Raw genomic sequence first — 13,863 nt, 5'->3', positions numbered from 1 at the left:
ATGGCAGAGGCCCCAAAGCACTGAGATGGGGCTAATGGATCACTTGGAGGCTACTGTGGGATTTTAGGTCTACCATGGCCTCCAAAATAATAATACCGCTTTTTCCTTGCATCTACGAAAACTTGCATGAGTACAAAAAAAATCACATCCATTCGAGACCAGCCTGGCCAACATGGTGAAACCCCAACTCTACCAAAAATACCAAAATTAGCCGGGCTTGGTGGCGGGCGCCTGTAATCCCAGCTACTCAGGAGGCTGAGGCAAGGGAATTGCTTGAACCCGGGAGGTGGAGGTTGCAGTGAGCCAAGATCGCGCCACTGAACTCCAGTCTGTGTGGTAAGAGTGAGACTCCGTCTCAAAAATAATAATAATAATAATAATAATAATAATAATAATAATAATAATAATCAGGTCCAGAAGCTTGCAGGCAAGAGAAATTGAGAAATGCATTTTCCATAATTCTAGTCCCTGTAATACGGAGAGCAGCATACAAAAATTTGGGAACGAAGCCTGATTGCCAAAAATATGCTGTGAACCTCAGGGCAGCACACTCCTGACAGCCTCTTGTCATCAAAGGAGAGGTCAGCATATGAGAAATGCTTGAGTCTTTTGTAAAAGAAAACTAGGTGTTTAATTTTGACATTTGATACTCAGCTGATTTTTGTATTTTTTGGTAGAGACGAGGTTTCACCATGTTGGCCAGGCTGATCTCGAACTCCTGACCTCAAGTGATCTGCCCACCTTGGCCTCCTAAAGTGCTGGGATTACAGGTATGAACCACTGCACCCGGCCAACAATTCTTGTATATGAGAGTTTCATGGCTTCTTTCCATTACATAGTAGTTTCTGTTATTTGAAGGTCTTGCTTTTCATCAAGTTAACCCACTGATGACATCCTGCAGCATGGAAACTGCAGTGCATGATAATACTCAGTATATCATGAAACTCAAAACAGACAAGCTGGACCTGCTGGATGCAAGGAGAGAGTGAGTGATTCCTTCTCGTCACTGCCACTCGTCAGCTTCCTGGGTGACTTCTTTCTGTCCTGTGTGAAACTGGGGGTGGTTTACGCAGCCTTTCCAGGACACAGAAGGACAATTTTCCTCTTTGGTTTTTTAAAAAAGTCCAGCCTGGCGTGGTGGCCCAAGCCTGTAATCCCAGCACTTTGGGAAGCCAAGGCGGGCAGATCATGAGGTCAGGAGATCGAGACTGAGACCATCCTGGTCAACATGGTGACACCCCGTCTCTAATAAAAATACAAAAATTTGCTGGGTGTGGTGGGATGCCACTGCACTCCAGCCTGGTGACAGAGTGAGGCTCTGTCTCAAAAAAAAAAAAAAAAAAAAAGTCCAGATGGTATAACATGAAAACTCCAAAGTTCCAATGAAACGTCTCCCCATTGCTGGCTTAGATTGCCCCGGCCTGGAAGTGGGCCAAGAGGGCCAGGGGACATGGCCCACCTGTTTCCCTGACCTGACCTTCTACACTCCCATGCAGCCTTTTGCTGAAGGAGCTAAGGTATGAACAAAAAGCAACTTTGCTTTCTCAGGAGTGTCCCTACAAATCAGTTGTAATGATACGTTCTTTCCTAGGCCTGGATGACATTTATAGCTTTTCCAGGCTCTTTTGGGTAACAAACAGGTTAAAGAGTTTTTTTGTTTGTTTGTTTATTTTACTTAAAAAATAGTCTCCGCTGTGCATGGTGGCTCATGCCTGTAATCCCAGCACTTTGGGAGGCCGAGGTGGGCGGATCACCTGAGGTCAGGAGTTCGAGACCAGCCTGGCCAACAGGGTGAAACCCCATCTCTACTAAAAATACACAAATTAGCCAGGTGTAGTGGCACGTGTCTATAGTCCCAGCTACTCCGAAGGCTGAGGCAAGAGTATCACTTGAACCTGGGAGGCAGAGGTTGCAGTGAGCTGAGATTGTGCCACTGCACTCCAGCCTGGGTGACACAAGATTCTGTCTCAAAAAAAAAAAAGTCTCTTTTTCTAGTTATTAGTCTTATCCAGTGTCATCTCAAAACTTCAAATGTCATTGACTTGAAACCCTCTCTCCTCCTCCAGCCTGGAGTCCGTGGGGTCACGGTCAGTGTCATTTCTCTTTCTCATACTGCCTCCTCCGGCCTTGCTGGCTGCTGTCCCTGGCCTGCTGCTGTCCTGGGGAAGCAGGGGAAGGAAGGTCAGGTTTCACTCCATGAGTTGAGTCTGGGAGTGACAGATTCCAAATGGTGCTTCTTTTCTCCTAGGTGTTTTCTCGTGCGTTCTGGAGAGTCTCCACCCCCAGGCCACCTGCTGTCCCCCAGAGGCTACACCTTCTCCAGCTGGACACTAGGGTACCTGCCCAGCCGCTTAGGCTCCAGAAGTCCTCCCCTCTATTGAGGTTATCCCATCCCTCCGGTGTTCCCTTTGGCTGGAACAAGGCTGTCTCCCTTTCTAGAGAACCACGGCAGGCCTACAGGAACTCTGAGAGTGCAAACCATGCCAAAGGCAGCCATCTCCAGGGGCTAGCCACCAACATGGAGTCAAATCCCAGTCCACGTGTCCCTCAAACTCCAGAAGACATGTCACACTTTCCGAAATGGTCCTCTTGAAGTGCTCCCTTATTTGGCATGAGCTGAAGATGGGGCACCCACCCCCTCCTGCCTGGGAAGAAGGGCAACGTCCAGCACACAGACAGTTGCTCCAAAGCAATCCTCTCACATTCCGCCACGGCCAGGACGTGGATGCCAAGCTAATCCTTCCCAATGTGGAGCTAACAGTTTTACAATCTCAGCATGAGCTGTGAAGGTGATCTAGCTCCTCCTGCCTTTAGAATGTGGAAGTACTTGGCACCTAATGTTTTGTTCTCAGCCTTTGGGGCCTCTGGTGAAACTGACACAGAAAGAGTCCCATTTTAGTAAAAGAAGTTATCATTATAAAAAGTAACCCCTTCCTCACGCCAGGATACCTGATGCACTGCAGGTGTCTCATGACAGCCTGACTTAGGAAGCGGGCTGTGTGAAGGTATAGCTAATATAGAATTTTTACATATTTATATATTTCGTCCTTATATTAATATGACTTTTTATACAAAATATATAGAGAATGGTTTGTTTTTTTTTTTTTTGAGACGGAGTCTCACTCTGTCGCCCAAGCTGGAGTGCAGTGGCATGATCTTGGCTCACTGCAACCTCCGCCTCCCGGTTCAAGCGATTCTCCTGCCTCAGCCTCCTGAGTAGCTGGGATTACAGGCACCCGCTACCATGTCTGGCTAATTTTTGTATTTTTAGTAGAGACGGGTTTCACCATGTTGGCAAGGCTGGTCTTGAACGTCTGACCGCAAGTGATCTGCCTGCCTTGGCCTCCCAAAGTGTTGGGATTACAGGCATGAGCCACTGCAACTACAATCCCAGCACTTTGCCAGAATTTTTGTTTTTGACGTTATGGATAATTAGATGTGCAGATAAATCTCTGTCAATATAGGCTACCTTAAAGTGTTGGGTGAAATTTTGTTTTGTTTTTGAGACAGAGTCTCTCTCTGTCACCCAGGCTGGAGTGCAGTATCGTGATCTCAGCTCACTGCAAACTCTGCCTCCCAGTTCAAGCGATTCTCCTGCCTCAGCCTCCTGAGTAGCTGGGATTACAGGTGCCTGCCACCACGCCGGGCTAATTTTTGTATTCTTAGTAGAGACGGGGTTTCACCATGTTGGCCAGGCTGGTCTCAAACTCCTGACCTCAGGTGATCCGCCCGCCTTGGTCTCACAAAGTGCTGGGATTACAGGCATGAGCCATCACGTCTGGTCAGAATTTTTGTTTTTGAAATTATGGATAATTAGATGTGCAGAGAAATCTCTGTCAATAGAGACTACTTTGAGTGTTGGGTGAAATTTCTCTCTTTTTTTTTTTTGAGACGGAGTCTCGCTCTGTCACCCAGGCTGGAGTGCAGTGGCACGATCTCGGCTCACTGCAAGCTCTGCCTCCTGGGTTCACGCCATTCTCCTGCCTTGGCCTCCGGAGTAGCTGGGACTACAGGCACCCGCCACCACACTCAGCTAATTTTTTGTATTTTTAGTAGAGACGGGGTTTCACCATGTTAGCCAGGATGGTCGCCATCTCCTGACCTTGTGATACGCCCACCTCGGCCTCCCAAAGTGCTGTGATTACAGGCATGGACCACCACACCCGCCTGAGTGTTGGGTGAAATTTTAATAAATACACAAAAAATACTTTAAAGCATGACTGAGCTAACAGGGAAGTAAAGGAGACCAGAATAACTGGAGGTCAGAAGGAGGAGGACCCAGAAAGAGAGCAGGAACGTGTTGTTTGCCCTGAGGGCCTATGCTAATCCCTGGTGGCCTAGAGGCTGGAATTTTTATCATTTTTGATTTTTTAGAGATGGAGTGTCTGCTATGTTGCCCAGGCTGGACTTGAACTCCTGGGCTCAAGCAATCCTCTTGCATCAGCCTCTCAAGTAGCTGGGACCACAGGTGAGCATCTGCACAACTGGCTTTAGAGTCTGGATTTTTAATTTGCCTCAGGCAGCCAAAAGGAAAGAAGGCCCCAGACAGGCACGGTGGGGTGGCAGATCAAGACTCTTGTGGACCGGGTGCGGTGGCTCATGCCTGTAATCCCAGCACTTCGGGAAGCCCAGGATGGTAGATTGCTGGAGGTCAGGAGTTCGAGATCAGCCTGGCCAACATGGCGAAACCCTGTCTCTACTAAAAATACAAAAATTAGCCAGGCATGGTGGTGCCCACCTGTAATCCCAGCTACTCGGGAAGCTGAGGCAGGAAAATCGCTTGAACCCGGGAGGCAAGAGGTTTCAGTGAGCCAAGATCGCACCTCTGCACTGCAGCCTGGGCAACAGAGCAACACTCCATCTCAAAAAACAAAAAACAAAACAAAACAAAACAACAACAACAAAAGACTCTTGCATAATGCTGGGGCCCCAAAGACAGGGAATTGCTGAGAATGAAAAACGCAACCCTGACCTTGCTGAGAAAAGGCTTTTCTGTCTCGACTGCAGTGTTGGGTGGGAGGCAGGGTGGAGAACCACCCCCGCAAGAGTCCTTAGCCACCAGCCGGAGAACCACCCACAGGAGTCCTTAACCACTAGCCCTTACCACGCGCATGAATTTGTGGCTGAAATCCATCCTAACTTCGAGGCCCAGAAATCCTAAGCTGAGAATTAATTTGAAGCGGTCAGTCTTGGGTTGGTAATGTCCCTAGGAACCTGGCAGAAGCAAATCAAGTCCTCTCTAGAAGAAGGATTTCTTTAAATCCTTCTTCTTTAAATCCAGGCCTCAAATTTAAAAAAAAATTAGCTGGGTATGGTGGCACGCACCTGTAGTCCCAACTATTTGGGAGACTGAGGTGGGAGGATCACTTGAGACAAGGAGGTCAGGTAAGGAATGATCACAACACTGCATTCTGGCCTGGGCATACAGTGAAACCCTGTCTTAAAAAACAAACAAACAAATAAAATAGCCAGGCCTCAAAGAATGTCCATAAAGTTCTGAAGTGCAGGGATATATCATACAAAAATCACTAAACACACAGAGAAATAAGCCACCATGAGCAAGTTAGTAAAAAACCGTAAACTGCAGAATCAGACCCACAGTTTTAAGTTCAGGTCTGACTCAGGTGCCTGGAAGTTTGCTCTGGGAAAGGCTGCTGGTGCTCCCAGCCCACTTGCAAAAGCACAGGTTAGGGGCTGGAACTTGCCCATGCCCCTGACTATATGTCACCAGCTAAGGAAGCTGATAAGCTCAGGGAAAAACAAGCTCGGAGGTTAATGTCACCAGGTATTTTAAGAGTACAATCACATCAAAAGAGACAAACTGTCCTACACAAACCGGAATGGAACAAGACAGATCAGGACTCTAAAATAAGCACAACAAAGATCCTCAGAGAGATAAGAGGATGATAATGAGGAACAAGCAGTGGCACAGAATCCAGTGGAAACACTGATATGAAGTTGGTGACAAACTCAGGAAAGTGGATAAAAACAATAATAGTTGGGCTGCGTGCGGTGGCTCATGCCTGTAATCCCAGCACTTTGGGAGGCCAAGGCGGGTGGGTCACCTGAGGTCAGGAGTTTGAGACTAGCCTGGCCAACATGTTGAGACCCCATCTCTACTAAAAATGCAAAAATTACCTGGGCATGGTGGCGGGCACTTATGATCCCGGCTACTTGGGAGGCTGAGGCAGGAGAATCGCTTGAACCCGGGAGGTGGAGGTTGCAGTGAGCCAAGACTGTGCCACTGCACTCCAGCCTGGACAACAGAGTGACACTCTGTCTCAAAAAAGAAAAAAAAACCAAAACAACAAGAATAGCTGAAAAATGAATAATGATCTAAATCAGCTGAAGAAATTTTCCTAGAAGGTACCGAAAAGTAATAAGGAGATGGAAAATACCAAAGAACGTTTAAGAGATATGGAAAATATTAGTGTCAATATCTGCCTAATACGAGTTTCAGAAAAAGAGAAAATGGATGTAAGTAAGAGAACGTATTAAAAAATTGTAAGTGTGTGTGTTTCTTGTTGGGAGCCAAAAAAAAAGAAAAAACGTGAAGTTTTAAAGATTAATCTTGAGACCAGCCTGGGCAATGTTGTGAGACCCTGTCTCTAAAAAAAATTAAAAACTAGCTGGGCGTGGTGGTATGCACCATATAGTTCCAACTACTTGGGAGGCTGAGGTGGGAGGACTGGTTGAGCCTGGGAGGTTGAGGCTGCAGTGAGCCGTGCACTCCAGCTTGGGTGGCAGAGCAAGACTCTATCTCAAATAATAATAATACAGATTAATGATAAAAAGACCGCAATGCAAAGGTCTTGTGGAACATCAAACAGAATAGAGAAGGAAAAACCTAAACTTTGAAATATTGTAATGAAATTTAGGAACATTGGCCTGTAGTCCTAGCTACTCTAGAGGCTGAGGTGGGAGAATTGCTTGAACCCAGGAGGCGGAGGTTGCAGTGAGCTGAGACCACACCATTGCACTCCAGCCTGGGTGACAGAGTAAGACTCCATTTCAAGAAAAAAAAAAGAAATTTAGGAACATCGAAGACCAAAAAAAAGAAAAAAAAATTCAAAAATCTTATAGAAAGAAGGAATATAGTTCACAAAAGAATAAAAATTGGATTGGCATTAATCTTCCTAACAGAAAAATTGGAGACAAAAAAGCAATGAAATTATATATATATACACACACACACACATACATAATTTTTTATTTTTTGAGACAGAGTTTCACTCTTGTCGTCCAGGCTGGAGTGCAGTGGCGTGATTCTCTGCTCACTGCAACCTCTGCCTCCTGGGTTCAAGTGATTCTCTAGCCTCAGTCTCCCGAGTAACTGAGATTACAGGCCCCTGCCACCATGCCCAGCTAAGTTTTGTATTTGTAGTAGAGACAGGTTTTCACCGTGTTGGCCAAGCTGATCTGCCCGCCTTGGCCTCCCAAAGTGCTGGGATTACAGGCGTGAGCCACCGTGCACGGCCATGAAATTATATTTCTAAGTGATGAAGGAAAAGAACCTAGAAAATTACATCCCACTAAACTATTATTTAAATGTGAAGAAGCAAAGATGATACGATACTTTCAGACATACAAAGTTCTAACAAGTTTAAAACCAGCACAAAAGCCTCTTTGAAAACTCTCCTGGAATAAGTACTTTTATACTTAATATAAGTATATTATACTTAAAATACTAAGAACTTACTAAGCACATGAAAAGATGTTCAATACTATTAGTTATTACAAAAATTCAAATCAAAAGAATAACAAGATACCACTTATACCTACTAGGAGATGACAGCCATAATTTAAAAAATGAAAAATGACAAATGCTGATGAGAATGTAGAAGAACTGGAACCCCTTTTTTTTTTTTTTTTTTTTTTTTTTTTTTGAGACGAAGTCTCGCTCTTGTTGCCCAGGCTGGAGTGCAACAGCGCGATCTCAGCTCACTGCAACCTCTGCCTCCCAGGTTCAAGCGATTCTCCTGCCTCAGCCTCCCCAGTAGCTGGGATTACAGGCGCCTGCCACCACGCCCGGCTAATTTTTGTGTTTTTAGTAGAGATGGGGTTTCACCATGTTGGCCAGGCTGGTCTCGAACTCCTGACCTCAGGTGATCCGCCTGCCTCTGCCCCCCAAAGTGCTGAGATTACAGGTGTGAGCCACCATGCCCAGCCTGAGCCTCCATGCCTGGCCGGAACTGGAACTCTTATGCATTGCTGGTGGGTATGTAAAATGGTTCAGCTACTATGGAAAAGAGTTTGGTAGTTCCTCAAATGAAATGTAGTTAGCATAAAATCCAGCAATTCCACTCCCAGGTCTGTACCTAAGAGGACTGAAAACATACATCCACACAAAAACTTGTGCACAAGTGTTAATAGGAGCATTATTCATAATTGCTAAAAAGTGGAAACAGTCCAAGTGTCTATCACCCGATGAATGGGTAAACTGTGACATATCCATACAATGAGATATTATTTGGGGTATAGATATCTGGATATTAAATTTAATACTAGACAGGGAAAATGTCACAAAGAAAAATGAGGGACATCATATTGGTAAAAGAACATTATATCAGTGCTTGCTTCAGCGGCACATATACTAAAACTGGAATGATACAGAGATTAGCACCACCCCTGCGCAAAGATGATACACAAAATTGTGCAGCGTTCTATATTTTTTAAAAAATATTATATCTCCCGGGCGCGGTGGCTCACGCCTGTAATCCCAGCACTTTGGGAGGCAGAGGCGGGTGGATCACGAGGTCAGGAGATCGAGACCATCCTGGCTAACACAGTGAAACCCCGTCTCTACTAAAAATACAAAAAATTAGCCGGGCGTGGTGGTGGGCAACTGTACTCCCAGGTACTCAGGAGGCTGAGGCAGGAGATTGGCGTGAACCCGGGAGGCGGAGCTTGCAGTGAGCCGAGATTGTGCCACTGCACTCCAGCATGGGCGACAGAGCGAGATTCCATCTCAAATAATAATAATAATATTATTATTATTATTATATCAAAAAGATATAACCATAATGAACATATATGCATCCAAAAACATTCACGGTTCTTTGAAAAGTTATTGAGAAGGAAGAATGGCAAGACTGATTAAGAGTCAGATGATGCATCGAAACAAGGCACAGCATGAAAACAGAAGCAAACACACTGGAGGTTACAATCAATTAAAAATTGGCCGGGCACCGTGGCTCACGCCTGTAATCCCAGCACTTTGGGAGGTCAGGTGGGCAGATCCCCTGAAGTCAGGAGTTCATGACCATCCTGGCCAACATGGTGAGACCCTGTCTCTACTAAAAATACAAAAATTAGCTGGGTGTGGTGGTGCATTCCTATAATTCCAGCTACTTGGGAGGCTGAGGCAGGACACTAGCTTGAACCGGGGAGACAGAGGTTGCAGTGAGCCGAGATCAGACCATAGCAGTCCAGCCTGGGCGACACAGCAAGACTCCGTCTAAAAAAATAAATAAATAAGTAATCCTACAAATACACTTCTTTTTTTGAGATGGAGTTTCTCTTTGTCGCCCAGGCTGGAGTACAGTGGCACGATAGCAGCTCACTGCAACCTCTCTCTGCCTCCCGGGTTCAAGCGATTCTCCTGCCTCAGACTCCCCAGTGGCTGGGACTACAGGAGCCCATATCCACACCCAGCTAATTTTTGTATTTTTAGTAGAGATGGGGTTTCACCATATTGGCCAGGCTAGTCTTGAACTCCTGACCTTGTGATCCGCCTGCCTTGGCCTCCCAAAGTGCTGGGATTACAGGCGTGAACCACTGCACCCAGCCACAAATAAACTTCTAAAAGAGTTTCTGGGCCAGGTGCGGTGACTCACGCCTGTAATCCCAGCACTTTGGGAGGCTGAGGCAGGCGGATCACCTGAAGTCAGGAGTTCAAGGCCAGCCTGACCAACATGGTGAAACCCCATCTCTACTAAAAATACAAAATTAGCCAGGCATGGTGGCACACGCCTGTAATCCCAGCTACTTGGGAGGCTGAGGCAAGAGAATCACTTGAACCCAGGAGGCGGAGGTTGCAATGAGCTGAGATTGCGCCACTGCACTCCAGCCTGGGCAACAAGAGCAAAACTCTGTCTCAAAAAAAAAAAAAAAATTCTGTCATTGTTGATCATATATAGGTATTATGGGAAAAGCACTTGATCTAATTCAGCGCATGCATATAATCAACCTTCCCAGAAAATTAGGAATAGAACTTTCTTAAGTTCATAAAAACTATATACCAAAAATCTAGAATAACACCATCCTTAATGGAGAAGACTTAGATCAATAAGGAACAAAGATTTTAATGTTCCCATTAAAATATGGAACAAAGATGCCACGTTCCCCATTACTGTTTAGCATAGTATTAAAGGACCAGTCTAATGCTCTAAGACGTAAAATGTGAAATTGAAAGAGGAGATAAAACTGTCATTATTTGTACATTATATGATCACTTCCATTGAAAAGCTAGTAAAATAATCAGATGAATTATTAGAATAACAGTTTAGCAAAATTGCTCGATATAAAATCAACTTTAAAGGATCAATAGCATTCCTTAGTACCAACAATAAATCAGAAAACAAAGAATAAGATACAATTCATGGAAGCAACAGCTATAAAATACCTCGAAATTAATATATAAACAAGACCTTCATAGAGAAGTTTTAAAAGCTTTATTGGAAGACACAAAAAAAATCTGTAACTTAAAGATTCTATTATTCTTCTTAAACCACTATATAGGCCCCAAAGAATGTGAATTTAATGCAAATTCAATCCTAATCAATATTTCAACTGGATTTTAAATGGAAGTGGAAAATTTTATTCTAAAATTTCTATGGAAGAATAAAAATCCATAATTAGCTGGGCCAACATAGAGTAACAAAGACGGGGACTCTCTTTACTAGATACTAAGGCATATTTTTAAGTCTATGGTAATAGAAAACAGTAAGATACTGGTGTGGAAATAAAAAGAACAATGGAACAGAGCCCAAAAATAGATCTTTCCATATATGAGAACTGGATATATGATAAAAATGGTACCACAAATTAATGGGAGAAATATTGATCTGTTAGGTGGTATTGGGAAAACTGCTTCACTAAATACAGAAAAATAAAGCTGGATCCCTACATTACACAGTATACAAAGGTGGATGCCAGATGGATTGTAAATGAAAAGGTGAAGGCAAAACTATAAAGCTCATAGGAGAAAATGCTGGAGGATATCTTTGTGGTGTAGGGCTAGGGAAATATTTCATAAGTAAACTGCCCAAAACACAAACATAAGACAAAAAGTAGATTAATTAAAAAGGATTTCGTTCAATAAAGGATGTCACAGACAAAGTTAAAAGACAGGTAACAGACAAAAGTAACTGACACATCTAAAACTGGTAAGAGATTAATGTCCACAACAAGAAACCAAAATGCAATTGCACGATGAGCAAAGATCAACACGCAGTTGACAGAAGGGAAGACTAACTATCACCTTGTTTTTGGTAATAAGGAATTGAAGATAACCTAGTTACCCACTGTGAGGGGAACAGGTATGTATAATGTGGTGCGTGCACACTAGGGAATCCGTGTAGCAGTAAGAAGCAACACCCTAAATGTACGCATAGCAACGTGGATGTATCTAAGTAAGTAGAAAACAGTAAACATGGCTACCACAGTACTATTGGTATGAATTAAAATTGTATACACACGACACAACACTACTTACTTCGAAGAATGCCTGCGAAACAAGGGGCACATATCAAAAAAGTTAGAGTGGTGCCTGTGGGACAGAGCAGAGTGGGGACTAAGGAAGAGGAGAAACTTCATGGATAATGAAGTGAGGGAATGAGTTCTCCAGCTGACTGATGACAATGTGCTATGAATCAAGGCATATGATTGACGCATTACTTTGCATTTGAGTACAAAGTAAGAAATTATCCACAGCACATACTCGCATGTAGTTTGAAACTACAGCAGGCATTTGACTATAGAAAGAGAGACTGAGGCTGTCACGGACTCCCTGCGGAGCCAGGCCCTTGGAATGGCAGAGTGGAGACAGAGCTGGATCTTGGTGACGTGGAATCACTCCATGACGCTACATCTAAACCAAATATCTGTAAGACCACTCAGATGAACCAGATTCCCTTGACTTTTTCAGCCAGGGGTTTCTGATACCTGTGATGAAAGAATTTTAACTGCTATCTATCTATGCCTGTACTTTAAGCAATAACTACACCAGATTTTTAAACAACACTATGGCTTCACTTCTATACTTTTGGGAAATTAGGGGAGCAAGACGAAGCATACATTTAAGAAGTAAAAAGACAGAGGAGAGACAGAATAATAGTAGCCACCATTTATAAGCTCTTATTATGTGCTAGGCACTGTGCTAGGTGCTTTCCATACCTTGTCTCTAATCCGACCAATACACCCGCCTGGGGTCTCACCCCTGTGCAGATGAGGAAATGGGCTTGAAAGGGAAAGCGTCTTGTCTAGAGTGACACAGCTTCACAGTGGGGTCTTGTGAACCCGTCTGTCTGCTGTCAACCTGTTCTTCACACCACGCCACCCTACTAGAAAAGATGATGGGGAAATGAAGAAGGGACAAACACAGAGACAACAGAGACACAGAAGAGGCAAATACACAGAGGGAGAAAAAACAAACTACGCCTAGGCACATATGGAGGCCCGATGTTTTCTGAAGAACGGACACCCATGACACGTCAGAGTATGCCTGCCTGAGAAGAGACTGTCATTGTCCTTTAAAAGGTGTACGATCTCATGATTAACCCAACCCTTACCAAATTCAAAGGCATCTCTTCTGCCCGTTCCCAATTATCAAAACCTTAAATAAAAGACTGATTTTCTCAAGTATTTCTCAAAGCTTTGTATGTATAGGAAGCAGTGGTACACATTTCAGACAGACTCAAATCTAGTTAGATCATTTATTGTCCATGGCAAAGCAAACTTTTGACTGTTTGCAATATATACAGATGGCAAATATATAAACGATATTGTGGTTTACCTCTGATAGTAACCTAAGCACCCATCAATAAGTGATATCACAACTATAGAATACTATGAAGCTGTTCAAAGAACCAGACAGACCTCTATGTGCTGATGTGAAATAACCTCCAAGATAACTGAAAAATGCTAGATACAGTGTATACGTATGCTAAGTTTATTTATTTATTTATTTTTGAGACGGCGTCTCACTCTGTCGCCCAGGCTGGAGTGCAGTAGCACGATCTCGGCTCACTGCAACCTCTGCCTCCTAGGTGCAAGCGATTCTCCTGCCTTAGCCTCCTGAGTAGCTGGGATTACAGACATGAGTCACCATGCCCAGCTGATTTTTTTGTATTTTTGGTAGAGACGGGGTTTCACCATGTTGGCCAGGTTAGTTTCTAACTCCTGACCTCAAGTGATCCGCCTCCCTTGGCCTCCCAAAGTACTGGGATTACAGGCATGACCACTGTGCCTAGCCAGGTATGCTAAGTTTATATTACAAACTCAGATACGTATCACTGCTTATAACTGGAGAAATTGATAGGTGGTTGCTCTGGGGAAGGAAGATGGGATTGTGGGTAAGATTTGCTTTGCACGCATTAGATCCCCATGTACTTTGTACTTTTTTCCCCTACCAAATATAACTTTTTTTTTTTTTTAAAGACACAGGGTCTTGCTCTGTTGCCCAGGATAGATTACTGCAACCTCAACCTCCTGGGCTCAAGTGATCCTCCCACTTCAGCCTCCCAAAGCAAAACAAATCTTTATTTTTAAATCAAGCAGTTTATTGTGTTTTCCCTCCAAGCCAAATCCAATGTTAGGATCTACTAAGGTCTGAGTGGAAGAAATACATTCCTTTCTTTCCCC

General features: G+C 44.0%; 1 protein-coding gene and 1 pseudogene across 1 annotated transcript in view, besides 1 other annotated feature; one reads left to right on the top strand and one right to left on the bottom strand.

The window, feature by feature from the left end:
- Positions 1 to 13,863, bottom strand: part of UBN2 (ubinuclein 2) — a 99,192-nt gene that overhangs the window by 6,465 nt on the left and 78,864 nt on the right. The gene's annotated exons all lie outside the window — the stretch shown is intronic.
- Positions 3,499 to 4,449: an enhancer, noted in NCBI's record as "H3K27ac-H3K4me1 hESC enhancer chr7:139004261-139005211 (GRCh37/hg19 assembly coordinates)". NCBI's record gives its function as "activates a minimal SCP1, AML or CMV promoter by ChIP-STARR-seq in primed H9 embryonic stem cells {active_cell/tissue: H9 hESC(primed)}" and the evidence as "EXISTENCE:reporter gene assay evidence [ECO:0000049][PMID:30033119]".
- Positions 8,570 to 8,673, top strand: RNU6-206P (RNA, U6 small nuclear 206, pseudogene; annotated as a pseudogene).

The sequence above is a fragment of the Homo sapiens genome, chromosome 7, assembly GCF_000001405.40.
Source record: "Homo sapiens chromosome 7, GRCh38.p14 Primary Assembly".
NCBI classification, from domain to species: Eukaryota; Metazoa; Chordata; class Mammalia; order Primates; family Hominidae; genus Homo; species Homo sapiens.
The sequence above is the reverse complement of the archived record's forward strand: the minus strand, read 5'-3'. Positions and strand labels throughout refer to the sequence as shown.